This window comes from Homo sapiens, chromosome 11, assembly GCF_000001405.40.
Source record: "Homo sapiens chromosome 11, GRCh38.p14 Primary Assembly".
NCBI lineage: Eukaryota > Metazoa > Chordata > Mammalia > Primates > Hominidae > Homo > Homo sapiens.
Genome location: NC_000011.10, coordinates 131,026,720 through 131,038,061, shown reverse-complemented (window position 1 = coordinate 131,038,061; position 11,342 = coordinate 131,026,720). Strand labels below are relative to the sequence as shown.

The 11,342-nt window shown below is 43.2% G+C and overlaps 1 annotated feature.

Moving 5' to 3' along the window:
- Window positions 4,521-5,021: an enhancer, noted in NCBI's record as "H3K27ac hESC enhancer chr11:130902936-130903436 (GRCh37/hg19 assembly coordinates)". NCBI's record gives its function as "activates a minimal SCP1, AML or CMV promoter by ChIP-STARR-seq in primed H9 embryonic stem cells {active_cell/tissue: H9 hESC(primed)}" and the evidence as "EXISTENCE:reporter gene assay evidence [ECO:0000049][PMID:30033119]".

Sequence of the window (11,342 nt, the reverse complement as noted above, 5' to 3'; positions counted from 1 at the left end):
TTCTCGGGGAAGTGCTGCAGGTGGAGTTGGGGGAGGGGAGTGTGTAGCCCAGGAACTGAAGGGACAAATGGGACCAGCTAGAAAGGAGTAGAGCAAGAAGATGGAAAGGCAGGACTGAGTGGGAGCAGAGCCTCGCTGGAATACCCTCACTGTCAGCAAAGTGGCTTTTCAGAGGAGCAGCATGCGAGGGACAGGCTGGAAGGTCAGGTCGGGAGGGAGTAGCCACAAAGGAGTCTCACTGAGGAAGAGAGGTGAGTGTCACCAGAATCCTCTACCATCAGAAAGTCCTTTGATGTAGAGTGGGAGCATCCTATCACCTCCCACCCAGCCCTTCCCTATTATTGAAGGGGCAGTATCCACAAGAGGTAATAGGGCACACAGACTCTAAAAACAGTGGATGAGAAAACACCAAAATCATATCCAGGTCTCCTAGCCCAGGGGTCCTCAACGCCCCCAGGCCACAAAGCCCTACCGGTCTGTGGCCTGTTAGGAACCAGGCTGCACAACAGGAGATGAGTGGCCGGCCAGTGAGCATGACCGCCTGACCTCCGCCTCCTGTCGGATCAGCAGCAGCATTAGATTCTCATGGGAGCGTGAACCCTACTGTGAACTACGCATCTGAGGGATCTAGGTTGTGCACTCCTTATGAGAATCAAACGAAATCCATGGAAAACTTGTCTTCCAGAAAACCGGTCCCTGGTTCCAAAAAGGATGGAGACTGCTGTCCTAGCCCACCAAATTCTGATCATTTGGAATCAGGACTTCAGTGTGCCCGTGCAATTAAAACATCTAGAAGACAAAGGGATAATTCCTGTTTCTATCGGCCTTGTTACCTGGCATTCAGTGCTTAGTGCAGCCAGGGCTCAGAGAACAAGAGAAAAGAAAGCCCATTGGTTCTACTCTGGCTTTCATCCTCCTCCAGGAGTCCCCAGTCTCCCCTTCACCTCATCTGGCCCCATTAAGTGCTTGAACCCAGACGCTGACGTCTGCCCTCCGTACCTTGGTGTTTAGGCCTCGTGGAAAATGACTTGCTTGTGAATAGCTGATAATGCACCTGTCAAATTCTACATATGGCCAAGATCCTTCTGTTGGTTCCTCACACTCAAAGTGCCTTGTTTTTCTTCAAGTACTATCTGAGATGTCTCTACGGATTAGTGTTTATATGCGGCAAGTACTGCAGTTAGTTAATAATGTCAAGATCATTGAGCTTCCCTAATGAAAGAGATACACAACATCAACTGTCATTTTAAACAAACATGCAATCAGGATAGCAGTGCTGAAAATATGATCTGCCTAATTTCATGGAGATGATGCAAGAACCAGGCTGCTTTCACAGTCCTTCCACTGGCGAGCTCCATTTCACAGGATTTCAGGGGAGAAACGGTGGATTTTCACAAGAGCCGCAAAACTGCCGGTTCTGTGAAAAAGAAATTGCTTCAGCAGCTGGAATCCAGGAGGACAAATAGGTACACTGATTATATCTTCATTGTTCACCAGAGCCACAGCACTCAGTAAGTTGTAATTATGTTGTGAAGAGCTCAGTTCTGATAGTCAAGCCCTTCCCCATGTGAATATAAACAGTATTTTTCTATTTGTTATCAAAGGCTTGCAGCCAATCCTGTAGTATACATATATATACACACACACACATACACATATACATTCATGTATGTGTATGTGTGCATGTGAGTGTATATATATGTGTGTGTATATACACACATACATACATGCACACAGTATATGCAAACCTATAGAATTAAGATCTTGCAGCCAGGCGCAGTGGCTCATGCCTGTAATCCCAGCACTTTGGGAGGCTGAGGCAGGTAGATCACTTGAGGTCAGGAGTTCAAGACCAGCCTGGCCAACATGGTGAAACCCCATCTCTAAAAATATAAAAGTTAGCTGGGTGTGGTGGCGCACACCTGTAATCCTAGCTACTCAGGAGGCTGAAGAGAATCGCTTGAACCCAGGAGGTGGAGGTTGCAGTGAGCCGAGATCGCGCCACTGCACTCCAGCCTGGACAATGCAGTGAGACTCTGTCTCAAAAAAAAAAAAAAAAAACATCTTGCCTGTTTTATTCCAACAGATTAGAGCTGTGGGCACATCAGTATGCCTCCCAGTCAGGTTTCAGATAAGATTAGCTGCATTCGGACAATTCACTGGCCAAGGGTCATGCAGAAAGAATAAAAGAAGTAGGGTAGAAAACAAAAATATGGATGAATCAGTTGGGTGCTTGGATTATACAAAATAATAGGGAAGCTAAAGACAACTCATTCTGGAGACACCATAAACTGAGGTTTCCATAATGACTATGAGCCACCTCTGACCAGCTTTCTGATAGACCATTCAGCAAATGGCACATTTCTGGTGGCCTCATTTGTCACTGATATGCCTGCACACACAAATCTCTGGCAGTTACTAAAGTGTTCCATTGGTCATTGTCCTTTGATTTCAGCTTTCTCGTAGTTCCTAAAATCTTGCTCTTTCGGGGATCAGCTAGGCAGCAGCTCTGGATATTTCCACTCCCTTGTCTATGTGCAGTGCACAGAGCCTTGGTAAACATGACCAGCCTTGACTGGGGCAGCTACTCATCTGACCTAGGAAATCTATCTTGATATATTATTAAACCTTAAAAAATAACTTTAAAAACGTCAAGGCTAAATCACCATAGGAGTTCTGAAGCTTAGTGAGGAGGGAGAAAGCAGCCACAGAAATGTGCTCCTTTCCAAAAATGACATTCCCTCCATCTTCAGATAGTGGTGACTTGGGCGCCAAACTCCAGTCAACCAAATGTGGTTACTGATCTTATATTTCTTCCATCCTTCTTCTCATTCAAAGACCTTGCTCCTATTTGAAGGAAACAGAAGAATAAAATGGAGAAAGTTGGTGAAACCCCATCTCTACTAAAAATACAAAAATTAACCGTGCGTGATGGCATGCACCTGTAGTCCCAGCTACTCTGGAGGCTGAGACAGAAGAATCACTTGAACCAGGGAGGCAGAGGTCGCAGTGAGCTGAGATCGCGCCACTGCACTCCAGCCTGGGCGACAGAGCGAGACTCTCTCTCAAAAAAAAAAAAAAAAAAAAAATGGAGAATGTTATAGACTAGAGGCTTGTAGATCTTATTTTAATTCATGTGTTAGAGTCATTTCTAACACATAGTGAATTGGATCCTCGTACTTTCGAAATCCTACCATCAGAGACAATGCCTTCAAGGTGAACTCTACAAATAAGACATCATTGGTGCTCAGCAACCAAGGGTAGAAGGTTGCCACGAAGCAGTGGCCAGAAGAGGTTGGAGAGAATGGTGGAAGAGGTAGAATAGATAAGTGGTTAAGAATGGGGACTCATGTCAGACACATCTGGATTCAAATCTCAGCTCTTTAATTTTACTAAGGGTATCATATTCAGCAAATTTTTTAACCTGTATTAATTTTCTATTGCTGCATAACATATTACCATAAACTTAGCAGCTTACTGCAGCACGTAGTTATTATCTTACAGTTTATGTAGTTTAGGAATCTCAGCATGGCTTAGATGGGTCCTCTGCTGAGGGTCTCATCAGCTGTGATCAAGGTATCAGCCATGCTGCATCCTCATCTGGAGGTTTGACTGGGGAAGAATTTAATTCCAAGTTCATTTAGGTTGTTGGCAGAGTTTACTTCCTTGCAGACATAGGACCAAAGACCTCCAATTCCCACTGGCTGTTGGCTAGAGGCTGCCTTCAGGTCCACCAGAAGTGCTCTAACAAATGGCTTTCTCTATAGGCAGTTCATGGCTGTTTTCTTCTTCACAGCCAGCAGGAGAGTCTCTCTCACTCTAGTCTGCCAAGACAAGTCTCATATAATGTAACAAAATCATGGTCATGACATCTCATCACATTTGCCATATTTTATTGCCAGAAGCAAATCATAGGTTCTACCTGCACTGAAGTGGGAAAAGTTATACAGAGAGTAACACCAAGGGGTGCACATCATGGGGTCCTCTTAGGAATTGCCTACCACATTCTACCCTCTAGTTATCATCTGGAGAGAAAATAATGTAAAAAGTCATTTTTGAAAGGTAGAAGGAAGAAGTGTTTGAGAATGTAGAAATCCCAACTCTTCAGTTTTACTAAAGCTGTGACCTTGAACAAGTTTCTTATCCTATCTGCTTTTCAGCTTTCTCCTCTGTAAAATGGGAGTCATAAGAGTAGTTACCTTATGGGTTGATGGGAAGATTAAATAAGGGCTTGTAAATTATCTAGAAGAGTGCCTGGCACTTAGTGAGTGCTGGGGAAATGTTAACTTAATCAACATGTCCCTCTTTGCAGCAGACTTGGAAAGAGTATCTTTTGGGCATAGCTTCTTTAAGCCTATATCACTTGTCAAATCAGAGGCAGAGCCAAGGCTACAACTCAACAGCCAAGAGCCCAGGTGAGGCTGTCACTGGTCTAAGCCTGTTGTGCTTGCTGAACCTGATTCTGCCACTCCAGCCATCCTTCCCCTGCTGACTCAGCCTGCCCTGGGTGTGGGGAGGGGCACATTTCCTGTAGAGAGGTCTGGTAATGGCCACAGTGGCAGGTCAGGCAGCATAGTGTGGAAACCTGGCTCTCCTTCAGGGACAAGTGGATGCTTAGACTTTGGAAGCAGGTTGGAGAGATGAGGGATAAGGTCTATGATGCTCTGCAGAGGGAGGCAGGGGTGTGTGGGTGGAGAGAAAGGAAATGAGGGAGACAGGGCCACAGTAGATACCAATGGAATGTGCTGAGGTGACCTTGCTCTCTGCGGCAAGCTCAGCGCAGCAGAGGAGGTGATGACTTGCAGTTTTCCCATCAGTGCCGCATGAGTCACTCTCCATATGGCTGGTCATGTCTATCCCCTCGTTTCCCATATCAGTTTAAATGAAGGCACTGCGTGTATGTGCATGTGTGCATGGGTGCACATGTATGAGTGCACTAACCAAACAGCTGCAGAAGTAATGAGTCAGTATTTGCTCTGAGGATCTGAGACCTCTCCCAAAAATTAGGCATAAATATGGACATCAGTATGACAAGTCAGCATTTCTACAAAATACAGCATGTCAGTTCAAGGATCTCAGCAAGTTTTAAGGAAATGACTTAAAAGATCACCTTCTTTGGAATAGAAATTAATCTCTTAGATTGATGGAGACCATTGGGAAAAGGGGAGGGTAAGAGAAAAGGGATGCAGGCATGATTCAAGTAGAAAGAAAATAGGGTTGATTTTATATTTGCAAAACAATTCACCATTAACCAAAATGCCTTTCCACACATGTCTCTTCAGGTCTCACCAAAACATATAAAGAAAACAAAGCAGATATTATCTTCATTTGCATGAGAAAACACAGTCAGTCTGTAGGAGCAAAAGGAAGTAGCAAAAAGAAAAAAAAAATACTAGAACACAGGTCTTCAGAACTCTAATTCAGTGTTCCTCTTCTACAGAATCTGACGGAGATGTCAGAATAGCCTTCGTTAGCAGGCTGATGCCTATGTGAAGGTTATTGCTTAAATATTAATTAGACAAGCCCTGTCCAGGCACTGCCAGCCTAGGGATACATTACATTAATCTTTCTGAGCCTAAGTTTCCTTATCTATAAAATAAGGATAATAATAATATTCACCTAATTAGGTTGTTTGAGGATTAAATAGGTTAATAATCATAAGGGCATAAGAAATTGTCTGTGCAAAGTGTTAGATTAAGTGTTAGCTTATTATTTTGGCCTCTTCTCCCAGCCCTCCCACTTAAAAGTACTTATTCAGGGAGAAATGAACACTACCTTGCTGAATGAATTACTGATTGAATAATGGGAACTAAATGGAGACAGAAGAGGACCTAGAAACAAGGCCAAACACCCAGGGAAAGGAAAGACTCACTTCTTGGTTTCAATGACCAACTTTCCCACAATCACCTAATTGTAGTCCAAACCTCAGATTTAAGTGGCCCTTGCAGCATAAACCAAAGCTTTCTAAACTCCCAGGGCATTTCTCTCTCCCTCTATTTCATTATCACCTGCTCAATGATTACAAAACACTGCTTTTCATGAAGGATACAAAACCATTTTAGAGGACTCATGTGACACCCTGGAACACTCAGCTCTCTTTACTCACTCTCGGTGGGATGCTGGTGACTGTGCTTTGTGATTGGGGAGCCCTGATTTGTAGTGTCTGATGATACCTGTGGTGTAAACACTCCTACTATGACTGATTTCAAGCTACCATGGGTTTAACAACTGGCTGGCAAACTCCTGAATATTAAACAATTGGCTTTTACACGTGGCTTTGTCCCTCTCCTTTGCTCCTTCCCATTTCCATAAGAGGATTGGGCCCTGACTGCTAGGTCCATTGAGCCTCATTGGATACGGGCTGGTAAATACAGCTCCTATCACTGCTGTGTGGCACTTGCTCTGCACCTTGGGACCTCATAGTGCAGGGCAAGGAATAAGAACCCTTGGCATTCTAGAAAAAGGAAACAAATAAGCAGGAGAACCTGGGGTGGAGGTTTCTGAATTTTATTCCAAACCATGGCATTAATAAATGGCTTGAACTGAAGAAAAGCCAAGTTCACCTGTTCCTGGTGCCTTATTTTCTCCATTCATCAGACAGTGACAACAACGACCTCAGTCACAGGGGAGGCAGAGAGCTTCATTAGCTCATGGTTTTTAAAGGCTCAGATACAAAAGGCAGTGTAATAGGAGTGCAAAGCCTCATTATTAGGTAATAACTCTCATCTGGCTGATTCCAATTGCACATCTCTTCATGTCTACCCTTTTTCCAATTACGTTGCTTCATTTTTCTCTTCTGGATATTTTTTAAAAGTCACTTTGAAGTACCGTAATTACTATTTCAATAAAAAACCTCACAAAGATGATGAGTTTAAACTAAATGAAAAAAAGCAGAGAAATCATGCCTCCCCCATCCAGCCTCCAACCCAAAAAAAATTTTTTTTAAATTAAAATTTCATCCCCTGTTTTACACGCAGTGAAATCAGTGCCTTATTTGGAGAGTGTTCATTCAAGGAGAGAATCTTTTTTAGGTGGAAATGATCATTGTACACTTGCCAGATAGTTAATTACATTAGGTTGTTCTGCCCACGATTGCAAATCAACTTCATACAGAAGGGACTTGTGGCCAAGATAATAGCAAAAGATAATGCAGTAAAACAACTGTGAAAAGCAAATGGTGCAAAGCATAAATGTTGAAAATTGCTGTTTGTTTTTATATATATATATATATATATATATATATATATATGTATTTTTAGGAGGGCGGCAACATGCTCTTTGCTGTTATCACAAGCATTAAAGTTTAATAGACCATCCGTGAGTTATTTACTGCTCAGAAACACCTGCTCGGTGAGATAAAGTAGCAGCTATCTTTCTAGTTTTAAAATTGACATTCAGCCAGTTATATTTCTGGTCTTTCTCATCACTTAGATGGTTGTTGACTTTTCTTAAATGTCAAAGGAGGTTTTCAACTTAATTTTATGCCTCATGCTAGTTTCTCACTTGGGCTCTCCAGAGGCCCTTCTCTGTGGCCTCTAAGTCAGCCCCAAGGAAGTGTTGCTGAAAGGAAACCTTTCTTTTAAGAAAAAAGAGTGCATTTACATCCATCTTTTTGCATGTATTGTGTAGAAAATGGAATTTATCATACCTCATTCATAATTACTCCCCTTAGTCTTTCTACACTGTTTACTAAGGTGAATAAAGTATTAGGCAAGTGTAGTATATACACATATGTAGACAATCACAGATAGGACTATATTCTATGCCCCTGGACAAATGATATCACCAGAAACCAGGTCTATGTCAGGGCCTGCGTGATTTCTCCTGACGTCTCTCTTCTTCCCTGCATGCCGTTTCCTTTCTCTACCTGCTGAGCAATCTTCTCTCTACTCCACAATCCATATTCTGGAGTTCAAGTCTGATGAGCTTAGCTCTGTCCACTCCTGGGCCAAGTTCTTACCACAGACCACTTCACAGAACAACCAGCAGACTATGGCCAGACAACTCATTGGGAGGGTGGGCATTCACGTCTGGTCGATCAGTGGTCATTTCTGCACAAATACCCCCTGTCACAACTGCCCTGGGCCAGGCCATGGGTCAGCACTGTCAGACTAATGGAGATGACAGGTGCTATGTACACACCGACATACTGACCTGTGTTGTGTCAAGTGCTGGGTTTTAAGGAGGTAGATGCTGACTGAAGTGAGCCATGTCAAGGTTGAGGAAGGAACTGAGCTAGGAATTCTGAACAATATGGCTTGGCTGCCAGACTCAATTTGAACCCTGGCTCTCCCACTTGATATCTGAGTGACCTTGGGCAAGCGATTCAACCTCTTTGTGCCTAATTGTCTCATGTGTCAAATGGGACTTATCACACTACCAACCTCACAAAGTGGTCATAAGAATAAATGAGCTGACACACAAAATGCTGAGTCGAGTCTGCCGGTAAGTGCTTCGCATCTGATTCGTTCAGTGTTTGTTTCATGGTTATCTATGGGTATGTGTCTGTGTTTGTCTAAGGTATGCAGAATTTAAATTAATGGTGATCCTTGGTCCATGACATGCTTCTATCAACTGTCTATGCAATGGTCTCTTTTATGTACATATTTGTACATAAAACATCCAATACCCATCAACCTACACACTCCTCACCGTCTCCTTTCCCTTCCTTTCCCAAGACATAACTGCTATTCTAAATGATATGTTCATCATTTTCTATTTCTTCACATTATTCTTATAAAAATATATGCCTAACAACATATTATTTAGTTTCAGTTGTTTTTAGGCTTTATAAAGGGGTACACTATAACATTAGTCTTCCAGGACTTGCTTTTTTTCTTCCAAGTTTGTTGCCAGGAAGGTCTGTGTTCTTTCATGTTCACGTCTGTGTGATATTCCATCGTGCGACTATGACACAGACTATCTATAGGCTTAGTAAAAGTTAGCTACTTTTCAGCTATTACTAAATACCAGGAGCTCCCTTTTGTCCTTTCCTAAGCTATCATTCATCCTCACCTAGCCACGAATTCTGCCCTTTTATTCAACAGCCATCATCTTCAGTCTTGAGCTGCTCTTTGGGCCAGGAGTGGGCCAATGTGGAGGCCATATGCCTGCTTCCCCCTTCCCTTTCTCAGGACTCTGCATCCTTAAAATACACCCCTGCTATTTGCTCAACTGGATCCCATCTGAGAGAAGAGACCCGGACAAGTCACTGATAGGAAGAGTGAATTGGTTGTCGCCTTTTAATTTTTTCAGTGAGGATGGGAAGAGCTTTTATTGACAAGGCTGTAATGCAAATGTGATTCTATCACAATGCGTTATTGGCATTCTTATTATCTGGCTCTGCTGTAATCTTGCCCTCAGCTCCCTCCCCAACCTATCTTCTTTTATCCTTTCACTGATTGTTCTAGTAGAAAAACTGCAGACTACAATACTCTGTGGATTCATGGTTAGGTAAGAGACAGCTGGAAGATGCCTCCCAAGTGTTGTCTGAAAACGGACATGGTAAATAAAGCAGGACTTCTAGGTCCCGGCTGAGTTTTCTTCCTGGTGACCACTGAGAGCCCAGTAGAAAAATCATGAAGTGACCCTTATTAGTTTGGCCCAGCTCCCTCCCAGGCAATTACTGTAGCAAAGCTCAGACACTGAATTCTGATTGATTCTGGAAGATTAAGCAAGAAAATGAAGCTGCCATAATATTGTAGCCAGATAGGTAACCTGGCTTGAAATTCATGTACTGATCCAGAAGAAAAAGGCATGCTGCCAACATTTCATGGAGGTTATCTAAGTTACATCACATTTTTAAATGCCGATTTTGACCTTTTTCCCGTGTCAGAAATATATATCCACACTTCTGATTAAAGACTAGATGCAACGGATTGTAGTTTCGTATTTTTTCTTCCCTCCGTATTGATCACATTTTTCTCCCGTCATTGAGAGCAAGAGGTAGGGCCGTAGAAGAGAAGACAGGAGCAGTAGAACTGAGCCTCTGTGGTAGGATTTCTCTGTAAACTGCAATGCAACCTGTGTTTGGTGTAGGGGCCACATTTGGACAAGTTTTCTTTCATTTATTCTAGAACATTGTCAACGTTTATACATTTGAATGTTTGCCAGCTCTGTCCCTGCCTTCAAGGAACCCACATGAGGGGCAGGTAGAGAGACTCAGAGCTACAGCCCTCCTTGAAGGGTGCTGTGGTGGGATTTGAATAAATGGCTGGGTCTGTCTTGGAGGAAAATGTTTTTCTACAGTTGGTGAGAACCAAAACCACATAGCCATGTGGTTTGGCTATTCCACTGTCTTCATTGACATGACTTTATCATTCCAAAAAACCCTTGTCCAGAAAGAAAAAGATTTACGTCTTTATCTGAACATTCCTAAAAATCCACTTAAAATTGCTCAACTTCAATAGATAGCATCAAGTGATGTTTTATGCTCCAAATCACTCCCAAACTTCCTGCCAAAACCCTCCCCTTCTGTGTCCACCACTCACAATCTTTACCCAATCCTAATCAAGCTTCTGCATTGAAAGGCCCACCTCAAACAAGACTTCACAGCCTCAGAACTAGCCCGGCCTTGCCCTCCTCCCTCCAAGACACTACAAGAACTCCATCAGTGTCATGTTCTTCCGCCATGGCATGCAAGAAACTCAGCTTTGACTTACCAAAATTTTATTTGGGTGCCTGCGTTTGACAGTGAGGAGGAAGAATGAGAGGGGAGATGACAAGTGGGACTTGGAAAATAAATGGGACTTGCCCAATGATGGGAGGTAGGGAAGAACACCCCAAGAGAGAAGAACAGATGAGTAACGGCAAGAAGACAAAAAGGTTACAAGCCCCACTGTACCTGGGGCTTTAACTGAATTATATCTGAAGGAACACTTTTACCTTCTCTTTGTGCAAAAGGACAGGGTCTTAGAAAGCCTTCGTCCCATGACTGAGGAAGTTTGGCCCATGGTGGGACCCTATGAATGACTTCAGAGACAATGAGAAACTCCACTGCTGGTTGCCCAGAGGCCAACTGCCTCCCCTCCCAGCTGGAGTTCTCCCAACTCCTAGGTTCTGTCTCCCTCACATCACCTGCCCAGCTTTCTTCAGTTCCCACTTCACTCCATCCCAGGAGATCAGCTAGTTTCATGTGAACAAACCCAAGTCCACTCCATGTGTACCTCATTTAGCCCAGACCACTGTCATCATCGTCAAAGTCATGTTCCCAGAATCTGTGCTAAGAAAAGCTACTCAGTAGAACACACTTGAATACAGCATGTTTTGCTCTATAGACCCAGTGATTTCTTATTTTTCCCTAGGCACCCTCCTTCCTAGGGGCTGCGATAAAGCTCCAATCA